The 23881-nt window shown below is 43.8% G+C and overlaps 1 protein-coding gene and 1 pseudogene across 15 annotated transcripts in view; both read left to right on the plus strand.

Annotated features, from left to right (window-relative positions):
* The window catches only part of CNOT10 (CCR4-NOT transcription complex subunit 10), an 88688-nt gene extending 65031 nt beyond the window's left edge, over nucleotides 1-23657 (plus strand). For 7 of the 15 annotated variants that reach the window (NM_015442.3, NM_001393366.1, NM_001256741.2 and 4 more), the window contains 6 exons: nucleotides 9240-9353; nucleotides 12515-12645; nucleotides 14237-14272; nucleotides 14464-14591; nucleotides 19669-19744; nucleotides 23239-23657. In NM_015442.3, the coding sequence (NP_056257.1) occupies nucleotides 9240-9353; nucleotides 12515-12645; nucleotides 14237-14272; nucleotides 14464-14591; nucleotides 19669-19744; nucleotides 23239-23393 (640 nt within the window). In that variant the 3' untranslated portion in view covers nucleotides 23394-23657. Of the gene's footprint in view, nucleotides 1-9239; nucleotides 9354-12514; nucleotides 12646-14236; nucleotides 14273-14463; nucleotides 14592-14831; nucleotides 14960-17787; nucleotides 17929-19668; nucleotides 19745-23238 lie in introns of those variants that run through there. The other 8 variants (NM_001393367.1, NM_001393368.1, NM_001393369.1 and 5 more) reach the window with 3 other exon arrangements.
* Nucleotides 2612-3702, plus strand: SUGT1P2 (SUGT1 pseudogene 2; annotated as a pseudogene).
* Nucleotides 23658-23881: the final 224 nt, after the last annotated feature.

Genomic DNA, 23881 nt, shown 5'->3' on the forward strand with positions numbered 1-23881 from the left:
GCACAGTGACTCATGCCTGTAATCCCAGCACTGTGGGAGGCCAAGGTGGGTGGATCACCTGAGGTCAGGAGTTCGAGACCAATCTGACCAATATGGTGAAACCCCATCTCTACTAAAAATATAAAAATTAGCCAGGTGCGGTGTTGTGTGCCTATAGTCTCAGCTACTCAGGAGGCTAAGACAGAATTGCTTGAACCCCGGAGGCCGAAGTTGCAGTGAGCCAAGATCGCACCACTGCACTCCACCCTGAGCGACAGAGCAAGACTCCATCTCAAAAACAAAAAAGAGTAAAGAAGTAATTTCATAGATTTAGTCATATAACAATATTTCTTTTTTCTTTTTCTTTTTTTTTGAGACAGAGTCTCACTCTGTTGCCCAGGCTGGAGTGCACTGGCGCAATCTTGGCTCCTCCAACCTCCGCCTCCTGGGTTCAAGCGATTCTCCTGTCTCAGCCTCCTGAGTAGCTGGGATTATAGGCATGCACCACCAGGCCCGGCTAATTTTTGTATTTTTAGCAGAGACTGGGTTTCACCATGTTGGTCAGGCTGGTCTCGAACTCCTGACCTCGTGATCTGCCTACCTCAGCCTCCCAGAGTGCTGGGATTACAGGCGTGAGCCACCGGGCCCAGCTATATAACAATATTTCATTGTTGCATAGTGGTTTAATAACTGTCATGGGTATGAACTGACTCTTACATGTTGCTTATTATAGAACATCTTTGTTATTCGTTCTGAGATTGTGATATTAGCTGAACTTAATGGAGGCTATTCAAGAGTCTGATAAAGAGTGTAACAGAACTGAAAAAGGTAGGAAATAATGTTGGAGCCAACATGGGAGATGTCTGTACAAGAAATTAAAATCAAAGCATACAAAATTTCAATGAAAAAAAAATTTTTTTTGAGACAGGGTCTTGCTCTGTCGCCCAGGCTAGAGTGCAGTGGCACAATCTTGGCTCATTGCAGCCTCTACTTCCCAGGTTCAAGCAGCCCTCCCACCTCTGCGTCCCAAGTAGCTGGGACTACAGATGTGCACCACCATGCTCTGCTAATTTTTAATTTTTTTTTTTTGTAGAGACAGAGTCTCACTGTATCGCCCAGGCTGGTCTCAAACTGCTGAGCTCAAGCAATTCTCCCACATCAGCCTCCCAATGTGCTGAGATTATAAGCGTGAGCTACAGCACCTGGCCTGAAAATGAAATTTTAATTTAATTGGTCATTTCTAAAATGGGAGGCCACAAAAGGGATAAAAGGAAATGTTTGGAGCAAATTTAATTAAGCCCAGTTATTCCACAAGTGTAAATTATAAAGCTTAATTAGTTCTTTCAGACTCTAATGTGACAGTCAGTGAATTATTTTCCATTCAGTTAAAAGGGACCTCCTGTGGTCCAGTGTCTATAAAAGAAGATGAATCAAACAAATGGTTGATAACATAAATATTATAGACAGTTTTAGTGTGCTTAAGAAACCATATTTCTTCTTTTGTTAGCCCAGTGGTGATATTGTAGCCCATAAGACATAACTAAAAGAGGATTATGGCTAATAATCTTTTGAATCTTATATTGCTTTTGCTAGAGATCCAGCCCCATTTCAGTCTTACGACTGAGTGTGGTCCTCCTGAAACTTGTTCATCTAACGAACTCTACCGTAGAAGGATCCTACCTGTGTGACATTTCCTTCACACTATCAGCAATTTGTGTTCACGTTGGCATGATTCACATCTGCCTCCAAGGATCTCATTTAGATGAACTGGTGATCAGATTGATCACAAACCAGGGTTAAAATAATTCTTCAGGCCAGGTGGAATGGCTCACTGTAATCCCAGCACTTCGGAAGTTCGAGGCAGGTGGATCACCTGAGGTTGGGATTTCGGGACCAGCCTGACCAACATAGAGAAACCCCATCTCTACTAAAAATACAAAATTAGCCAGGAGTGGTGGTGCATGCCATTAATCCCAGCTAGTCAAGAAGGCTGAGGCAGGAGCATCTTTTGAACCCAGGAGGCAGAGATTGTGGTGAGCCGAGATCACGCCATTGTACTCCAGCCTGGGCAACAAGAGCGAAACTCCGTCTCAAAAAAAAAAAAAATTCTTCAGTGGTCTGCCACTCTGTGGAAACCCCACAGGGCCACTAATGTGGATAAATCATTTAACCCCTGTGGGCTGCCTTTTCCTTTTCTATCAAATAAAGCAATTGGTTTAGGTGATCTTAAGATCCCGTCCATGTGTAAAATGCTAAGTCTCTGTGACTTTATATTTTATTTGCTGCCCAGGATAAGACTGGGTTCTTTGGGATGCCAGATTTGATAAAGATAAAACTTCTTTAGCTTTTTGTGTTGTACTTCTATTTCTGTTGGATTTGGACTATGTTTGTCAATAAGATTCTTTTTGCACAGAACTGTTATTAGCAAAATGTTTACAGAAGATAAAATTAAAAACTAATTGAACAACTAAACTTCAACTTTAACAGTTGAAAGTTGGCTGAGTGTGGTGGCTCATGCCTGTAATCCCAGCACTTTGGGAGGCCGAGGTGGGCGGATCACCTGAGGTCGGGAGTTGGAGACCAGCCTGACCAACATGGAGAAACCCCTTCTCTACTAAAAATACAAAAATTGAGAAGTTTCCCCCTTGGGCAGTGGCGGAGGTGGTAACTACGACAGTAGCAGCTCCGGCGGCAGCAGCAGTGACTACGAGGATGGCGGAAGCTGCAGCAGGACCTGCAACTTCCCAGAGGTTTTTCCAGAGCTTCTTGGATACTCTAATCGACGAGGACCCCCAGGCGGCATTAGAGGAGCTGACTAAGGCTTTGGAACAGAAACCAAATGATGCATAATATTAGTGTCAAAGAGCTTATTGTCACATTCTTGTAATTACTGTGTTGCTGTTGCTGATGCAAAGAAGTCTCTCGAATTCAATCCAAATAATTCCACCACTATGTTGAGAAAAGGAACATGTGAATACTATGAAAAAAACTATGCTGCTGCCCTAGAAATTTTTACAGAAGGACAAAAATTAGATAGTGCAGATGCTAATTTCAGTGTCTGGATTAAAAGATGTCAAGAAGCTCAGAATGGCCCAGAATCTGATGTGTGGACTCATCAGTCAAAAATCAGGTATGACTGGTATCAAACAGAATCGCAAGTAGTCATTACACTTACGATCAAGAATGTTCAAAGAATGATGTAAATGTGGAATTTTCAGAAAAGGAATTGTCTGCTTTGGTTAAACTTCCTTCTGGAGAGGATTACAATTTGAAACTGGAACTTCATCCTATAATACCAGAACAGAGCACATTTAAAGTAGTTTCAACCAAGATTGAAATTAAACTGAAAAAGCCAGAGGCTGTGAGATGGGAAAAGCTAGAGGAGCAAGGAGATGTGCCTACACCAAAACAATTCATAGCAGGTGTAAAGCACCTACATCCATCATCATCTCCTTATACAAGAAATTGGGATAAATTAGTGGGTAAAATCAAAGAAGAAGAAAATAATGAAAAGTTGGAGGGAGATGCAGCTTTAAACAGATTATTTCAGCAGATCTATTCAGATGGTTCTGATGAAGTGAAATGTGCCATGAACAGATCCTTTATGGGAGTCTGATGGTACAGTTTTGAGTACCAGCTGGTCTGATGTAGGTAAAAGGAAAGTTGAAATCAATCCTGATGATATGGAATGGAAAAAGTACTAAATAAATTAATTTGCTCTCACACACACACACACACAAAATATAAAAATTAGCTGGGCATGGAGGTGCATGCTTGTAATCCCAGTTACTGGGAAGGCCACCAAGGCAGGAGAATTGCTTGAACCCAGGAGGCGGAGGTTGCAGTGAGCCAAGATCATGCCATTGCACTCCAGCCTGGGCAACAAGAGCAAAAAACTCTGTCTCAAAAAAAAGTTGAAGGTTGACAAGTTTAACATTTTTTGGATTATTGTAGACAAATTGGCATTAATATTTTTTTCTTTAGAAATTTTATTTATTGGCCAGGTGCAGTGGCTCACGCCTGTAATCCCAGCACTTTGGGAGGCTGAGGTGGGAGGATCATGAGGTCAGGAGATCGAGGCCATCCTGGCTAACATGGTGAAACCCCATCTCTACTAAAAATACAAAAAATTAGCTGGGCATGGTGGCGGGCACCTGTAGTCCCAGCTACTCGGGAGGCTGAGGCAGGAGAATGGCATGAACCTGGGAGGCGGAGCTTGCAGTGAGCCAAGATCGTGCCACTGCACTCCAGCCTGGGCGACAGAGCAAGACTCCGTCTCAAAAAAAAAAAAAATACATATATATATATATATTTATTTTACTTTTTTTTTTTTTTTTTTTGAGACGGAGTCTTGCTCTGTTTTCCACGCTGGAGTGCAGTGGTGTGATCTCTGCTCACTGCAACCTCTGCCTCCCGGGTTCAAGCAATTCTTCTGCCTCGACCTCCTGAGTAGCTGGGACTACAGGGGCATGCGCTACCACGCCCAGCTAATTTTTGTATTTTTGGTAGAGACGGGGTTTCGCCATGTTAGTCAGGCTGGTCTCAAACTCCTAATCTCAGGTGATCAGCCTGCCTCGGCCTCCCATAGTTCTGGGATTACAGGCATGAGCCACCGTGCCTGGCCTCTTTTGAAATTTAAAAATCTCAGCTACTCTGGGCATACTGCCTGTGGGGTAGCCCTGTTCTCCAAGGACCATTACAAAAAAAAAAAAAATAGATATTTAGTGTGTACTTTCCCATATTCAGTTTGTTGAAAGAAATTACATTAACCGGGCATGGTGGCTCACGACTGTAATCCCAGCACTTTGGGAGTCCAAGGCAGGCGGATCACCTGTGGTCAGGAGTTCGAGACCAGCCTGGCCAATATGGTGAAACCTCATCTCTACTAAAAATACAAAATTAGGTGGGTGTGGTGGTGCACGCCTGTAGTCCCAGCTACTCGGGAGGCTGAGACAGGAGAATCACTTGCAACCGGGAAGTGGAGGTTGTGGTGAGCAGAGATCATGCCATTGCACTCTAGCCTGGGTGACAAGAGCGAAACTCCATATCAAAAAAAAAAGAAAGAAAAGAAATTACATTATTAGATTTTTTATTTTTATTTTCTTTTTTCTTTTTCTTTTTCTTTTTTTTTTTTTTTTGAGACAGAGTTTCGCTCTTGTTGCCCAGGCTGGAGTGCAATGGCATGATCTCAGCTCACTGCAACCTTTGCCTCCCAGGTTCAAGCAATTCTCCTGCCTCAGCCTCCCAAGTAGCTTGGATCACAGGCATGTGCCACCACGCCTGTGTAACTTTTTGTATCATTATTGGATTTTTTAAGCCAATTTTTCAAATGTTTGCTGTGAGGCTACTTTGTAAATTTATTTTCCTTTGACAAATGGTGACTGACTGGATTTATCCTCATTTTAGCCTTTTTTAATAAGGGTTAAACTATTTCAGATATTTGGTTTAGATTTCTTTAACTCACAGGATCTATGGCTTGACAAATTTTAATGCCTAGTCTTGCATAGCTTGTTGTAACTTGGTGCTTGAAGAAAATGTTTACTCCTTTCTTTTCCTTTCCTTTTTTTTTTTTTTCTTCTTTTTTTATCTTCTTTTCCAAGGATGGGCATTCTGGGGACCTAGAGCTAGTTCCTTCAGCATGTGAAGGGGAGAGTGGGGTTTTGTCAGATCCTCCACAGGGGGGAAAAGCTAGTGTCTCTTCCCTTGAGGTATAGTTCTTCCAGTCTGATGAACTGTCAGATCCACTGAGTGATTGGTAAAGCAGATTGGACAGTGACTCGAGGAAGTGGGGGTGGGGACAATATTTTAAGTAGTAACTATCAAAAGTAAAGTGATTCTCTGGGGGCTCAGTAGAGCCATGTGTGCTTCTAGCGTTAGCAGTCTGCAGGAATTGTGCAGAGTGCGGTGTTTTCTAAGAGGAAAAGGAGGATGAGTGTGAGAGTGATGAGAGGTGAGTTGGGATGGATTGTAATGCACCAAGAGAAGGGAGCATAAATGTTGGTTTGAGTTTCGGGCAATGAAACTTGCTTAATCCTGATGGCTCTTAATCAGAATGTCAGCCCTAAAGTTTCATATTCACAGTTGAGAACTTTTAATTGAATGATTATTTTTTATAGTCTTTTACCCTGTTTTGATTTAGAATTTGAAGAAAGCAGATTTTTATATTCTACGTAATTATAGTTTGGGCTTCCTGGGAAACAGAATCCTGCTGCAAATCTTACATGACTGATTTCTGGACCCAAAGTGGGTTTGACAGTGGGCTGGAGCAGTAATAGCCCACCTACTGTCGGGAGAGGCCAGGGCAGGCATTTCCCAGCAAGCCTGCCTGAAGTGGGTCTTGTCCTAGACTCTAGGACCTAGATCATGCAGGAAAAGTCCCATTTGTGGGAGCTGGAAAAGAGTTGGCTTCATTAGCAAAGTGACCTACCAACAGGAAAGGTGGGGGTCTGGAGAAGCAGATTTAAAATGTTGAAAGCTGTGTTTCTTTAACAAATACTTATTAAGCACCTACTGCCTATGTGAGATATTGCTCTAGTCTGTGTAGGAAACCACAGATGTGTGCTTCTGCTTTTAAGAAGCTTATGTTTTACACTGACCTTTGGCAGAGTCACATATGAAAATGGATATCGGGCCGGGTGCAGTGGCTCACGCCTATAATCCCAGCACTTTGGGAGGCCGAGGCGGGCAGATCACAAGGTCAGGAGTTTCCAGCCTGGCCAACATAGTGAAACCCCATCTCTATAAAAAAATACAAAAAAATTAGCTGGGCATGGTGGCGGGCACCTGTAATCCCAGCTACTTGGGAGGCTGAGGCAGGAGAATAGCTTGAACCGAGGAGGCAGAGGTTGCAGTCAGCCGAGATTGCACCACTGCACTCCAGCCCAGGCAACAGAGCAAGACTCCGTCTCAAAAGAAAAAAAAAAAAAAAAGATACTAAATTTTGTAACTGTCATTCACATAGGCCCTGAACTAATTTTTTTTTTTTTTTTTTTTTTTTTTGTGACGGAGTTTCACTCTTGTTGCCCAGGCTGGAGCGCAATGGCGTGATCTCAGCTTACCGCAACCTCCACCTTCCAGGTTCAAGCGATTCTCCTGCCTCAGCCTCCCAAGTAGCTGGGATTACAGGCATGCGCCACCACACCCAGCCAATTTTGTATTTTTAGTAGAGATGGGGTTTCTCCATGTTGGTCAAGCTGGTCTCGAACTCCCAACCTCAGGTGATCAGCCTGTCTCAGCCTCCCAAAGTGCTGGGATTACAGGCATGAGCCACCGCACCCAGCCACTAATGGTCTTCTTGAGCCTCCGGAGACCGGACCTTTAATAGTCTTTTTTTGTTCATAAGTAGTACATATCTGATATGTTGTAGTTACTCAGTATACTTCTTGAATGAATGAATGTCATTGCCATTTTAAAATTAAAAATACAAATAAGCCAAAAGGAGAAATTAAGTCACCAGTCTTGCCACACAGACCTAACTACTAACATTCTTCTGAAGATGAGAGATAACTAGCCTCCTGCCTCTGGTCCCTGAGTCTTCCTTCATGGGGAGGGTTCATTGTAGGGACTGTGGCCATGGGACAACCTTGCTGGTAAAGCCAGCTGTTGAAGAGCCAGAAATATTGATAGTAGGCTTGCCAGGAAAATTCCTTTGAAAGTGGCACTACTTGCTGGCTCTCAAATTACTATCCTCTGTAATAAGGGTCAGATTTAAAATTACATACTCAGGGACAAAATATAAACTTATGTTTGGATTAAACTTTTTCTACCTGTTTAAAAAGACAAGTTAGAATACCTATGTTGTGTATGCCTAGAACTTAGAAAATTATAATGTACAAGAATCTTTTCTGTTGTGTTTTTTGTAAGTGGTCTTGTGAGTTAATAAAGAAGCAATGTGATTGGATGGGAAGAACAGCGGATTGGGAGTCTACAATGTCAAATATTAGACCTAACTAATCACACACTAAGCTAAAGATTATGTTTACTCACTTTGAGTCTCTGTTTCCACATCAGTTAAACAAGGAACCACACTAGACAGTCTTTCAGCCCTCCCATGGTAGTATAAGGCATAAACCTCAATTTCGTTATGCTTCTCAAGGACCACTCTACTTTTCTGTGTTGTTAAGAGTTGAGGGGCTGCCTTTCTAAGATTCTAGGAACCAAATTCTAGGGTAGTTTTCTAAGATTCTAGGAACCAAAAGTTAGCAAGTGAAGAGGAAACAGAATACTTTTGAATTTGCCCAGCTGTGCTTTTTATAGGAAGAGCCATTTCTAGTCAGAGGATTTCAGAACATTTCAAAACTCTGTGGTGATATACTGGTTACATTCTTCCTTAGACTAAAATTACAACCTGAATGCACTTAATGATACATATGTGTATTGTAATTTGTAAACATAACTCAAAACCCTGTATCTGAGTGAGGTCATTTGTGGTTAGCCATTCAGACTTCATTTCTATTTGACAAGGGTTTATTTTAAGATTGCTTTGTGGAGCAGTTGTTTAACATTCAAGTGATCTATTAGTATTAAGTCTTTAACCAGACTTGTTTTAAATGAGCTGTCTGTGAAGTAGAAAACCAAATATTATAGAAACTTAGATTTCCAATCCAACTTAGCGAAATCAATGTAACTTAAACGTTGTCTTCACATATGTTTGTTTAACCTGTTTTTTTTCCTTCAGTATTCCTTTAGAAGAATAGTAACTGTGTGAATAAAACTTTTTAGTTACTCTTGATACTATGGTTTAGCAAGAACTGTAGACTTAATTGGTTGAGAAAAGAACATTTAAAGTAAATGAATGCTTTAGTAAGTTAATTATTTCTTAGCATATCACAAATATATGTAGAAAGAATAAGATCTCATTCTATAGCTTTATTCCTAGGTTATTAAAAGCAAACTTCTATGGAAGTTAGTTCTCATTAGGCTATATATATATAGTGTGTGTGTGTGTGTGTGTGTGTATTTATCTATACATATATACATACATACATACATACAGGCTATGTATTGTAATCCATTGGTTATTTTGTTGGGGATGTGGGTCAATTGGATGAAAGCTAAAGATGACTTATGTAAATAGCCAAACTGTGTTTCAGAATTGTTTTATACATCAATCTAATTCTTACCATTAGTACCGTGGCTTCCTCTCCTCTTTCCTGGTGTCCAGATTGTCACAGCTAAAGGGCATTTCTTCCTATTTAGCAAATATAACCATTATCAATGTTTAAAATGAGATTTTCGGCCCCTTCCCTTTTGTGTTATAGGTGCTCCATACTTGCTTGCAGTGCCTACGTGGCTCTGGCTTTGGGTGATAACCTCATGGCTTTGAATCATGCAGATAAACTTCTTCAGCAGCCCAAGCTGTCAGGATCTCTTAAGTAAGTGTGACTTGCCCTGTGTGTCCCTGGTTTCTTTAGTTTTGAGGTTTCTCCTTGGTTTGTGGTTTATGTTGCTTCTTTTGACTCCTCCAGTGGAATATATATTTGTAAGGAAAGCAACTGTTTAAAAGAACGTTTTTTAACCCATGCCTCGGCAGTGAAAATGTTTTCACTTGTGCTGTACTGAGCGTTAGGAGACAAAAACTTCGGACTCTAGTGTCCACTTCTAGGCTTCACTGCAGCACTTTAATTCTCCAAATAAGTCAAGTCCTCAGAGAGAAGACCTACAAAAAAAGGAGTGTGGTCAATGTGATAAATCTACTTTGAGGGACCAGGCACGGTGGCTCACGCCTGTAATCCCAGCACTTTGGGAGGCCGAGGCAGGCAAATCACGAGGTCAGGAGTTCAAGACCAGCCTGGCCAACATGGTGAAACCCTGCCTCTACTAAAAATACAAAAAATTAGCTGGGCGTAGTGGCGGGCACCTGTAATCCCAGCTACTCAGGAGGCTGAGGCAGGAGAATCGCTTGAACCCAGGAGTCAGAGGTTGCAGTGAGATCTCTGCACCACTGCACTCCAGTCTAGGCTACAGAGCAAGACTCTGTCTCAAAAAAAAAAAAAATAGACAAGAATTTGAAAAATCTTTCCAAGCTACTGTATCATTCCAGAATCAGCTAGTTTTAGTCAAACTGCAAATACTTCTTCATTAATATCATTGTCATTCTAAAATTTTCCAAAGCACATTATCTTTTCTTTTACCAAAATTGAGTAAAATACAGGCCAGGTGTGGTGGCTCATGCCTGTAATCCCAGCACTTTGGGAGGCTGAGGTAGGCAGATCATTTGAGGTCGGGAGTCTGAGACCAGCCCAGCCAACGTGGTAAAACCCCATCTCTACTAAAAATACAAAAATTAGCCAGGCATGGTGGCAGGCATCCATAATTCCAGCTACTCGGGAAGTTGAAACAGGAGAATCACTTGAGCCTGGGGGGCGGACGTTGCGGTGAGCCACGGTTGCACCATTGCACTCCAGGCGGAGTGACACAGCAAGACTCCCTCTCAAAAAATAAAAATAAAATACAGCTTGAATTTTTGTATGGTGCTGATCCTGGAAATTTTATCAAAAGCCACGAGTATTCTGCACAACATTAGAACAGTTCTTTCATTCATCGTATAGGTGTATACTTACAAATGCCAAAATATAACTACTTACTCTTTGGCTTTTTAGTGATCCCCAAACATACCTAGTGTTTTTGTTTTTTTTTTAAGTAATTAAGGCCAGGCGCTGTGGCTCACACCTGTAATCCCAGCACTTTGGGAGGCCTACCTGGGCAAATCATTTGAGGTCAGGAGTTGGAGACCAGCCCTGCCAATATGGTGAAACCCCATCTCTACTGAAAATATGAAAATTAGCCGGGCATGGGGGCACACTCCTGTAATCCCAGCTACTCGGGAGGCTGAGGCACGAGAATTGCTTGAGCCTGGGAGGCAGAAGCTGCAGTGAGCCAAGATTGTACCACTGCATTCCAAACTGGGTGACAGAGTGAGACTCCATCTCAAAAAAAAGTAATAAATCATTCAACTATATAAGAGACTTTGTCACAATTCAAATATAAGGGAGCTCCTGCTCTTCTGCAAGAAAATCTTGTCCAATATTCAGGCCTGGAGATGGGGAAGATCCTAATTTTCAGTTCAAGGCATTTGGGTTGCCTCTAAAGTACCTTCCGTCCTTATCATTGCCCAACTCAAAATGCCAATGTTGGGAATTGCAGCTGATGCTGGTGTTCAGATTGTGGTGTATACGGCCATTATGAGAGAACTGGACTTTGTGTGTTTGTGTGTGACTGAGTCTGTCTGGGTCACCCACACTAGAGTGCAGTAGCACAATCTCAACTCACTGCAACCTCCACTGTCTGGGTTCAGGCGATTCTCCTGCCTCAGCCTCCCGAGTAGCTGGGATTACAGGAGCCCACCACCACACCCGGCTAATTTTTTTTCTTTTTCTGAGACAGTTTCACTCTGTTGCCCAGGCTGGAGTGCAGTGGCATGATCTCAGCTCACTGCAACCTCTGCCTCCCCAGTTCAAGGGATTCTCCTGCCTCAGCCTCCTGCGTAGCTGGGATTACAGGTGCACGCCACTATGCCCTACTAATTTCTTTTTTTTTTTTTTTTCTTTTTTTGAAACGGAGTTTCACAGGCATGAGCCACCGCACCTGGCTACTTTTTGTATTTGCTCTTATTGCCCAGGCTGGAGTGCAATGGCGTGATCTCGGCTCATCACAGCTTCCATCTCCCGGGTTCAAGCGATTCTCCTGCCTCAGCCTCCCAAGTAGCTGGGATTACAGGCATGCACCACCACGCCCGGCTAATTTTGTATTTTTAGTAGAGATGGGGTTTCTCCATGTTGGTCAGGCTGGTCTCGAACTCCCGACCTCAGGTGATCTGCCATCTTGGCCTCCCAAAGTGCTGGGATTACAGGCATGAGCCACCATGCTCAACCTGGAGAGTTTTAAAACTATAAAAGTTTAGTTTGTGGTGGTGTTGTTCTTGTGTAGAAAGTCATTAAGATTTTGAGCAGATCAAAAGGTCCCCAGTTAAAAAAAAAAAAAAAAGCTGGGCATGGTGGCTCACGCCTGTAATACCAACACTTTGGGAGGCCAAGACGGGCGGATCACGAGATCAGGAGATCGATCTTAATTTTTATTTTTATTTTTTTTGAGATGGCGTCTCACTCTGTCATTCAGGCTGAGGTGCAGTGGCATGATCACTGCTCACTGCAGCCTCAGTCTCCCATGCTTAAGTGATTCTCCCACCTCAGCCTCCTGAGTAGCTGAGACTACAGGTGTATGCCACCACGCCCAGCTAATTTTTGTATTTTTTTTGTAGAGACAGGGTTTTGCCATGTTGCCCACGCTGTTCTCAAACTCCTGGACTCAGCAGTCCACCCACCTAGGCTTCTTGAAGTGTTGAGATTAAAGGCATGAGCCACTACACCCAGGCAGTTGATTCGTTTTACCTAAATAAATTTAGATTTCAATTTAAGGACATGAAATATGAGACCTATATCCAATGTATAATAACATAATATACCCAGCATTATTTTACATTGGGTATTTTTGTGACGTTGTACTTTTCAGTTTGGAATCTGTTTTTTCATTTTAGGTTTTTGGGACATTTATATGCTGCAGAAGCCCTCATCTCTCTCGACAGAATATCTGATGCCATTACTCACTTGAACCCGGAGAATGTCACTGATGTCTCCTTAGGGATCTCTTCAAATGAGCAGGACCAAGGTTAATGAGGACATCTTTGATCAGAACTGGTCACTGTTTCCATTTCCCTCCTGTCATAATTCAGGATGTGTGGAAATTTAGGCATGGTGGTAATGAGAAGAAAGTTTTAGGTTGGCTTTCCACATTTTTGTCTGTACTTACTTTGTAGCAGTTGTTTGCTAAGTAGACCTGAGAGTTAATGATCACATCATCTAAATTCTCACTTTTGAAAGGCTGGTACTGTTAGAATGGTTAATTTTGGTTCTGATACTATTTATTTGTTTTCCTTTGGAGTGATTCTAAAATCCATAGGGGAGTAAAAATATTGCATTCAAGAGTCAGTTTTAGTCCAGGCGTGGTGGCTCACGCCTGTAATCCCAGCACTTTGGGAGGCTGTAGCAGGAGGGTCACTTGAGCCCAAGAGTTCAAGACCAGCCTGGGCAACCTGGTGAGACCCTGTCTCTATTTTAAAAATAAGGAAAGAAAAAAAAGTTTGTTTTAAGTCATTGCTAAATTTCTAAATAATTGTCGGGTGCGGTGGCTCACACCTGTAATCCCAACACTTTGGGAGGCCGAGGCAGGTGGATCACCTGAGGTCAGGAGTTCAAGACCAGCCTGGCCAACATAGTGAAACCCCGTCTCTACCAAAAATACAAAATTAGTAGGGCGTGGTGGTGCAAGCCTGTAATCTCACCTACTCAGGAGGCTGAGACAGGAGAATCGCTTGCACCTGAGAGGTGGAGGTTGCAGTGAGCCAAGATCACGCCACTGCACTCCAGCCTGGGTGACAGAGCAAGACTCTGTCTGAAGAAAAAAAAAAAATTAAATAATTAAAGCTATGTGACATTCATTTTACTCAAGACTAGTGCTCAGGTTTGAGATGGTGGTGGGTGGTAGCATTCTGGCATTTTTTAATGGAATCTCCACTACATGAAAAGTAAATAAATTGCTTTATATTAAATTTCCATTTCATAAAGAAAGTTAGGTTTTTAGAAAATATGCTCTCAGCTGGCCACAGTGGCTCACACCTGTAATCCCAGCACTTTGGGAGGCTGTGGTGGGTGGATCACCTAAGGTCAGGAGTTCAAGACCAGCCTGACCAACATGGTGAAACCCTGTCTCTACTAAAAATACAAAATTAGCCAGGCATGGTGGTATGCCCCTGTAATCCCAGCTACTCAGGAGGCTGAGGCCAGAGAATCACTTGAACTCAAGAGGCGGAGGTTGCAGTGAGTCGTGCCATTGCACTCCAGCCTGGGCGGCAACAAGAGCAAAACTCCATCTCCAAAAAAAAAACCAGCCTGACCAACATGGTGAAACCCCGTCTCTACTAAAAATACAAAAACTAGCCAGGGATGGTGGCACATGCCTGTAATCCCAGCTACTCAGGAGGCTGAGGCAGGAGAATCGCTTGAATCCAGGAGGCGGAGGTTGCAGTGAGCCGAGATCATGCCCCTGCACTCCAGCCTGGGCAACAGAGCGAGGCTCCATCTCAAAAAAAAAAAAAAGAAAAGAAAAGAAAATATGCCCTCTACCTTCTGAGCCCGAGGAGAAAAGAAAGAAAATATGCTCTGTTGTTCTGCCCCTCAGATTTATTTTCGTGTTTTTGTAGGATCAGACAAAGGTGAAAATGAAGCAATGGAATCCTGTAAGTAAGAAGTTTTGTGATACTTAAGTAGCCTGGCCTGCATCCCAAAAATTTAGATTCTAAATCTTCTGTGTTCGTTTTTCTGCCTGAGGAATACTGCTGTGCCAAGTGGCTCCTCAAGGCGATAGATTGGGTTGCTTCCTTGCTGTTGGCACGGCCTCTTCACCAGTGTCTACACTCTTTTTCCCCAGCTGGTAAGCGGGCCCCTCAGTGCTACCCCAGTTCCGTCAACTCTGCCAGGACTGTGATGCTGTTCAACCTTGGCAGCGCTTACTGCCTGAGGAGCGAATATGACAAAGCCCGAAAGTGTCTCCACCAGGTGAGTCCAGAGTGGGAGGAACTGAACCTTGTAAAGCAGCCAACACAAGTTTGAGGTTTATATTTTTTGTTACTTTGTTTGAAGCATCTGATCAGTTTGTTAAATATTGGAATATCACTTTCCCAGATATAAAAATATTCTTGCAAGGTAAACAACTAATCAGCATTGTAAATGAACCTAGACACTTAAAGGAAAGTTCTTCTTGATGATTTTATTTTAAAAAAAATTTTTTTTTGCCAGGCACAGTGGCTCATGCCTCCCAGCACTTTGGGAGGCCGAGGCAGGCGGATCATGAGGTCAGGAGTTTGAGACCAGCCTGGCCAATATGGTGAAACCCCATCTCTACTAAAAATACAAAAATTAGCCAGGTTGGTGGCACGCACCTGTAGTCCCAGCTACTCGGGAGGCTGAAGCAGGAGAATCGCTTGAATCCGGGAGGCGGAGGTTGCAGTGAGCCAAGATTGTGCCACTGTACTCCAGCCTGGGCAACAGAGCGAGACTCCGTCTCAAAAAAAAAAAAAGATGTTTAAATTTCAAATCAGCAGAATAAAAAGCAACTTGGGGCCGGGCACAGTGGCTCACATCTGTAATCCCACACTCTGGGAGGCTGAGACAGGCAGATCACTTGAGTCCAGGGGTTTGAGACCAGCCTGGGCAACATAATGAGACCCTGTCTCTACTAAAAATACCAAAAATTAGCCAGGCATGGTGGTGCATTCCTGTAGTCCCAGATACTTAGGAGACAGAGGTAGGAGGATTACCTGAGCCTGGGAGGTTGAGGCTGTAGTCAGCCAAGATCATGCCACTGCACTCCAGCCTGGGCAACTGGAGTGAGACCCTGTCCCCCCAAAAAAAAAAGACAAAAGAAGTAAGTTGACAGTTTTAATTATTAAAATTCCAAAAGATGGAAAACTGTCTAAAAGATCACTTATATAAATAATAGTGCATCTGTACAGTTGAAGACAATGCAGCTATAAACTCTAGGTACTAAAATGGAAAGATGTCCAAGACATACTAAATGAAAACAGCAAGGTGTGAAACAGTTTCTGTATAACCCTGTATACATGCATAAAAGATCTCTGAAAGGACACACCAAGAAACTGCAAACATTAGTTGTTGGGGTGGCAGGACGAATACTACATGGCTGGAGCAGTAGAATGGGAGACTTTTCACTGTATACTGTTATGCTTTTAATTTTTTTTTTTTTTTTTTTGAGACGGAGTTTCGCTCTTGTTGCCCAGACTGGAGTGCAATGGCGCAATCTCGGCTCACTGCAACCTCCGCCTCCCGGGTTCAAACACTTCTCCTGCGTCAGCCTCCCAAGTAGCTGGGATTACAGGCATGTACCACCACGCCCGGCTAATTTTGTATTTTTAATAGAGACGGGGTTTCTCCATGTTGAGGCTGGTCTCGAACTCCTGGCCTCAGGTGATCCACCCGCCTCAGCCTCCCAAAGTGCTGGGATTACAGGTGTGAGCCACCGTGCCCAGGTGCTTTTAAATTTTGAATTGTGTAAATCTTTTTTCAAAATGTGAATTATAGGCCAGGCACGGTGGCTCATGCCTGTAATCCCAGCACTTTGGGAGGCCGAGGTGGGCGGATCATGAGGTCAGGAGATCAAGACCATCCTGGCTAACACGGTGAAACCCTGTCTCTACTAAAAATACAAAAAAATTAGCCAGGCGTGGTGGCATGTGCCTGTAGTCCCAGCTACTCGGGCGGCTGAGGCAGGAGAATGGCATGAACCCGGGAGGTGGAGCTTGCAGTGAGCCAAGATCGCGCCACTGCACTCCAGCCCGGGCAACAGAGCGGGACTCTGTCTCAAAAAAAAAAAAAAAAAGTGAATTATAAATCCACCTTTCAGAAAGCCAATACTAGAGAAACTCCATACACACTAAAGAAAGCTACTGGCAATATATAACTAAAATAAACCTCTGAATTCTACCACTGAAATGGTGCATCATGAAGCTTCAAGGAAGATTTTGATTGGATCTCTTTAGTAGGTCACCTGCCAATCCCTGGACCAATCATGGGCATTGAGCCATACCTGTAGTAGGGGACTGGGTACCACCATTGGCAGCCCCAGAGGAATCTCACAAAATTAGAAATAGTTCCTCAAAAGGACATTCATCCAGCAGATATCTGTTGAGCACTTACTTCTGAGCTAAGCCATGGGAATAAGACTGCACATAAGCAGACATACTACAATCTTGCCCTTGCTTGTAGACCTTTGCAGTTAGGAGACACCTTCCTAAAAAGGGAATTGCATGGTCAGAGGATATGCAGGATTTTAAGACTTCTGATATAGAAAGTTTGTATCAAATGGTACATTCTCCAGCAGCAGATGAGAAGGCCCACATCCCCACATGCTTGCCACAGCAACTAAAGTTGATATTAAACCTCTTCTCAGGAGATAGGGTGGCTTTCAGCCGGGCGCAGTGGCTCACACCTGTAATCCCAACACTTTGGGAGGCCGAGGCAGGCAGATCACCTGAGGTCAGGAGTTCGAGACCAGCCTTACCAACATGGAGAAATCCTATCTCTACTAAAAATGCAAAAAGTAGCTGGGCGTGGTAGCACATGCCTGTAACCCCAGATACTCGGGAGGCTGAGGCAGGATAATTGCTTGAACGCAGGAGGTGGAGGTTGTGGTGAGCCGAGATCGCGCCATTGCACTACAGCCTGGGCAACAAGAGCGAAACTCTGTCTCAAAAAAAAAAAAAAAAAAGCCTATGTGGCTTTCACATAGGTTCCTGCTTATGTGAGCAGCCTTGTTGTGCCTAGAAGTGATGATGCTTTACCATGTGAAAAATAACTACAAATTCTATTTAGTCAACTTAGTGGCATCTGGTCAGCATTTCTGATCCCAGATCAGAAAAGTTAAGTGACAGGCTGTCCAGGGTAACATGTTTGATATTATCTAGGCATTGAGTGTATGAGTTAAACCAGTAAGAGTTAAAATGTTTCACTCTTCTCAGTAACAAGGCTAGGGTGTTGAGCAGCCCCTCTCAAAGTGCCCCCAGACCTCAGTCACTGCAGCAAACAGAGCTTTTGATCTAAAGTTACAGTGTGTACAGTCCAGCTGAGGTTCTCGTACAGCAGGTGGCCATGGCTGCTGCCACGCTGGGAGAGACAGATGGGGTCAGGCCTGGTTTGGGGTCTGAAGGGGGTTTTGTTTTGGTCCCTTGGTTTTTAGGTTAATCCAATGGCTGGACCTTTGTTAATTGGGAGGCCCACCCTGCCTGGGAGGGAAGAACAGTGATGTGAAGAGTTGGAAAGGGCTCCGAGTAGATGTTTCCAAGGTTGCCTGCCCACCACTAACCATTCTGAACAGCCAGTAAGCAAAATGCCATTAAGTATCATAAAGATGTTGCCTTGAATTCTTGTATTTTAAAAAAAGCTTCAGACTGTGGTCATTGAAAAAAACAGTAAATAAAATGTGTTACTAGCCACTTGGATGGAAAACAGAGATTTTACTATCCACAAAATGGGCCGGGCACAGTGGCTCACATCTGTAATCCCAGCACTTTGGGAGGCCAAGGCGGGTGGATCATCTGAGGTGAGGAGTTCAAGACTAGCCTGGACAACATGATGAAACCCCGTCTATACTAAAAATACAAGAAATTAGCTGGGCGTGGTGGCAGGAGCCTGTAATCCCAGCTACTTGGGAGGCTGAGGCAGAAGAATCGCTTGAACCCAGGAGGCGGAGGTTGCAGTGAGCCTAGATCGTGCAATTGCACTCCAGCCTGGGCAACAAGAGCAAAACTCCGTCTCAAAAAAAAAAAATCCACAAAATGGTATAAAGACGATCTTGCCTATACAGCTTGCCTAGAAAGCTAGGCTTAGATATATAAAATCTCATTTTCTGAAAAGAGTTGTTATACCTCAGTGTTGTGGCGAGAGGAATAAAAGCCTCCCCACCTCATTCATGAGGAACTTCTTAGAAGCACATGCTCTGGGCAACATGCCCCGCTAGTCTGAGATTTCTCCTAATGCTGCCAGAAACCAACCTAGTACACGTTTCTGGTCTTCCCCAACATCTCCCACGTTCAAGCTGCTACCTTCAGTACCATTTCTCCCCATTTTCTACCTGTGAGATATCTACCCTGCAAGGACTAAAGCAGGCCTCCCTTACCCCAAAGCTCTGTTTGAAAGAAACTTCTTCCTTTCTCTCCATATTCACAGCACATTCACTGCCTTTCTCCCTGGCATTTACGTAACTGTGTTTGGATTATTGTTAGTTATTTGCATGCTTGTTTGTTATCAGGGGAAGTCCCTGTCTTATCTCCATACCCACCTCTGTTCAATAAGTATTTGTAGAAGTCTATTATCTGATTAGATTAAGAGAAGAGGCAGAGCTGTCTGGAAGCAATGAGCAACTAAAACTAGATGGGGAAGTACAAGTTGATAATAAGGTGAGGAATATTTTGGCTGTAGCTCAAAGAGGCCCAGACTGAGGAAATAAACCTGTAATTTCAGCACTTCTGTCCAGAGCAGTCCAGGCTTCCTTCTTCAGGACTGGATCAGAGAGAAACTGCTGGCCGATGCTATGGCTCTTACTCAGATCTAAGGGCAGCATGTTGCCTAAACTAGTAAATTATTTTATTGGACTAAATTGAAGTGTGTTTCAGTCCTTAAGAATGGAGACCTCAAACATGCTACGTGGTACGTTTTTTCTGTATTACTATAAGTTTGAATTATTATTCCTGACATTGACAACTTACAGTTTGTAATACTGAAGTGTTACTTAGGAAAACAAATGGGCATGCAGATTTTGATGTAATTGCAACTGTATGTGTCTGTTGTGAAAGCCACCAGCAGAATTGGATGGTTGACTGTAGTATCGGGGTGTCCAGTCACCCATCTCAAAACCCAGAGTATTACATGTCTAGCTTAATTGTTAGGTTTTAAGACAAAAGGAACTGAGGCTCATCAGAGCAGAACAACAGGTAGTCCCTAGGAAGTCACGTGGGAATGAGCTTGAATAAGTTTGTTACCTTGTTGGTTGGCAGATGTACTTGGAGTGTGTATCTTAAGCTTTTGTTTTTTCACGGGCATCTTTCTGTTTTGAGCAAAGGCGGCTTCAATGATCCATCCTAAAGAGGTGCCCCCTGAGGCCATCTTGCTGGCAGTCTACCTTGAACTGCAGAATGGTGAGTAATTCTCTCTGTTTAGGACTTTATCCCTTGAAAGAGCCTGAGATTTTTTGGTTGGGAGACAGGGTCTCACTGTGTTGCCCAGGCTGGAGTGCAGTGGTACCATCAGAGCTCACTGCAGCCTCCAAACTCCTAGGCTCAAGCAGCCTTCCCACCTCAGCCTTCCAGGTAGCTGGGACTACAGGTGCACGCCACTGAGCCCAACTAATTTTTTAAATTTTTTTTAGAGATGTGGTCTCGCTTTGTTGCCCAGGCTGCTCTCAAACTCATGGGCTCAAGCAGTCCTCCCATCTTACCCTCCCTAGTAGCTGGGATGACAAGCATAAGCCACCATGCTCAGCCAAGGCTGAGATTTTTTTTTTTTTTTTTTTTTTTTTTGAGACAGAGTCTTGCTCTGTAGCCCAGGCTGGAGTGCAGTGGCGCGATCTCGGCTCACTGCAAGTTCCGCCTCCCGGGTTCATGCCATTCTCCTGCCTCAGCCTCCTGAGTAGCTAGGACTACAGGCGCCCGCCACCACGCCCACCTAATTTTGTGTATTTTTAGTAGAGACAGGGTTTCACCGTGTTGGCCACGATGGTCTCGATCTCCTGACCTCATGATCTGCCCACCTCGGCCTCCCAAAGTGCTTGGATTACAGGCGTGAGCCACCGCACCCGGCAAGGCTGAGATTTTTAATGTCTGTTTTTTCTCTTCAGAGTCAGAAATTTGCCTTCCTTGAAGATAGGTGACCCATCAAATTCTTTTTTTTTTTTCTTTTTTGAGATGGAGTCTCGCTCTGTCACCCAGGCTGGAGTGCAGTGGCACTATCTCAGCTCACTGCAACCTCCGCCTCCCGGGTTCAAGGTTCAAGAGATTCTCCTGTCTCAGCCTCTCAAGTAGCTGGGATTACAGGCACCCACCAACATGCCTGGTTAATTTTTGTATTTTTAGTAGAGACCGGGTTCACCACGTTGGCCAAGCTGGTCTTGAACTTCTGACCTCAGGTGATCTGCCTGCCTCGGCCTCTTAAAGTGCTGGGATTATAGGCGTGAGCCAGAGCGACGACCCATCAAATTCTTCTACATAAAAATATAGTTAGGAGCTGGGCGCAGTGGCACATGCCTATAATCCCAGCACTTTGGGAGGCTGAGGTGGGCTGATCACCAGAGTTCAGGAGTTCAAGACCAGCCTGGGCAACATGGCAAAACCCCATCTCTACAAAAAATACAAAAATTAGCTGGGTGTGGTGGTGTGCGCCTGTAGTTCCAGCTACTGGGAAGGCTGAGATTGGAGGATCACTTGAGCCCTGGAGGTTGAGGCTGCAGTGAACTGAGATCATGCCAGAATAAGACCTTGTCTAAAAAAATAATAATAGGCCGGGCACAGTGGCTCACGCCTATAATCCCAGCACTTTGGGAGGCCGACACGGGTGGATCATTTGAGGTCAGGAGTTCGAAACCAGCCTAGCCAACATGGTAAAACCCCATCTTTACTGAAAATACAAAAATTAGCCAGGCGTGGTGGCGCATGCCTGTAATCCAGGTACTTAGGAGGCTGAAGCAGGAGAATCGCTTGAGCCTGGGAGGTGGGAGGTTGCAGTGAGCCGAGACACACCACTGCACTCCAATCTGGGCGACAGAGTGAAACCCTGTCTCAAATAATAATAATAATAAATACCTATATCTATCTAGATAGATAGATAGATAAATAGATAAATTGATAGATATAGTTAGGGAGTTTTTGGTATCCTACAAATACTCCTTACAAGTTAAGCTTATCTCCTTTTATCTGAGAAAATACAGAATCATAACTTCAGACACTTAATTATAATTAATCACTATTAATTAACCTTTCTCCTAGGCAGCTAAATGACTGAGAACATGAGTTAGAATGCAGTTGCTTTGAGTTATACACCATAGTATTTTGAACACATATTAACAAGTTTTACAGTAAGCCAGTTCTTGCTGAGAATTATTTATTCAAACATAAATTCAGGTCATGCCTCTAGGGCATATACGATCTCCAAGATGTATCTCACTAGAAGAAAGGCTGTTGGCTCTAAATATGAGATAGCATGAAGTAGAAAAGAGACATGAATGAGAGAGATTAGAAGGGACAGAAATAGGCCAGGTGCGGTGGCTCATGCATGTAATCCCAACACTTTGGGAGGCCGAGGCGGGCAGATCATGAGGTCAGGAGATCGAGACCATCCTGGCTAACATGGTGAAACCCTGTCTCTACTAAAAATACACAAAATTAGCTGGGCGTGTTGGCATACAGTTGTAGTTCCAGCTACTCAGCAGGCTGAGGCAGGAGAATTGCTTGAATCCGGAGGCGGAGGTTGCACTGAGCCGAGATCGTGCCACTGCACTCCAGTCTGAACGACAGAGCGAGACTCCGTCTCAAAAAAAAAAAGGGACATAAATGAAGTCACAGCCAAGCATGGAGTCCTAGCTACTCTGGAGGCTGAGGCGGGAGGATTGCTTAAGGCCAAGAGTTCAAGGCTATAGTGTGCAGTATTGCTCCTGTGAACAGTCACTGCACTCCAGCCTGGGCAATATAGTGAGACCCTGTCTCTTTTTTAAAAAATAAAAAATTTTAAAAAGGCTGGGCACAGTAGCTCATGCCCGTAATCCCAGCTACTCTGGAGGCTGAGGCAGGAGAATTGCTTGAATCTGGGAGATGGAGGTTGCAGTGAGCCGTAATCGCCCCACTGCACTCTAGCCTGGGCCACAGAACAAGACTCTGTCTCAAAAAAAACCCAATGTTCTAAGGCATAACTCCTTGTTGACCTTGGGAACTCTTACAAGGCTCCCTTTTTTTTAATAGCTGAAGAAGGGGTCTTTAGTGCCTGGCACCCAGCGGGCCTTAGCCTCCTTAAAGATGTGATTAGGGTTAGTGCATTGCCCTAGATTGTTTCATTGTTTTTTGTTTGTCTTGAGACAGGGTCTCACTTTGTCACCCAGGCTGGAATGTAGTGGCGTGATCTTGGCTCACTGCAGCCTTGACCTCCCAGGTTCAAGCAGCCCTCCTGCCTCAGCCCCCCAAGTAGCTGGGACTACAGGCATGCACCACCATGCCCAGCTAATTTTTGTATTTTTTTGTAGAGACGGGGTTTCACCATGGTACCCAAGCTGGTCTCGAACTCCTGAGCTCAGGCGATCTGCCCACCTTGGCCTCCCAAAGTACTAGGGTTACAGGCATGAACCAACCCTCCCAGATGATTGTTTCTTTTATACAGCCCACCTATAACAAGTTCTCTACCTGGGCTATACCTTAGAATCACTGGGAAGCTTTTTAAAATTCCATTGCCTGGGCCATGCCCTACATCGCTTAAATCAGAATTTCTGGGGATAAGATGGAGGCTTTATGGGATTCCAGTATACAGCCAAGGCTGCAGATGACAGCTCTTCTAGATCATCTTTTACCTCCCCAGCAGGATTTTCATGTCTTGCTTTGTGTGTGGCAGTATTGTTCTGTGCTTTGTTTTTTAACGGGAAGTGTTTTTATAGGTAATACTCAGCTGGCCTTACAGATCATCAAAAGGAATCAGCTGCTCCCTGCAGTGAAAACACACTCTGAAGTGAGAAAGAAGCCAGTGTTTCAGCCTGTCCACCCGATCCAGCCCATCCAAATGCCGGCTTTCACCACTGTGCAGAGAAAGTGATACTTCACTTTTGGAAAACTGTTACCTGAGACCCAGGGGAGAATTTACTGGCCATTTTAGTTGTATCACAGCAGAATGAATAAAAGATGGTGAAGGCTGTTAATTTTGAGTCAATTCTACCCCTGACATTTGGCCAAAAGCTTACTTAAAATTAAGGATTTACTAAGTCATCATCAGCTGTTTTTCTTAATTTCAGCCAGACTATTAATTTTGAGCCATTATGTAATATATGCCATAGGCAATTAAAACATAATTTTATCAGAAGTCTTTTACACTTTTATTGACTATTAGATTATTTTAGCATCTGAGGTTTTGTGTTAACGTTCAAAAATTGACAAAGAACATCAGCAGTAGATGAAATAGCCAGTTCAGAAGCTGACCTGGGGGTGAAGGGGAGGGAAAGAGAGTTGACGTGTTTTATGTCTAGTTATGACTGAAAAGACCAGAAAATGTGTTGAGAAAGTAGGTTAAGAAGATACAACTGGGCC

The sequence above is a fragment of the Homo sapiens genome, chromosome 3 (genome assembly GCF_000001405.40).
Source record: "Homo sapiens chromosome 3, GRCh38.p14 Primary Assembly".
Lineage (NCBI taxonomy): Eukaryota > Metazoa > Chordata > Mammalia > Primates > Hominidae > Homo > Homo sapiens.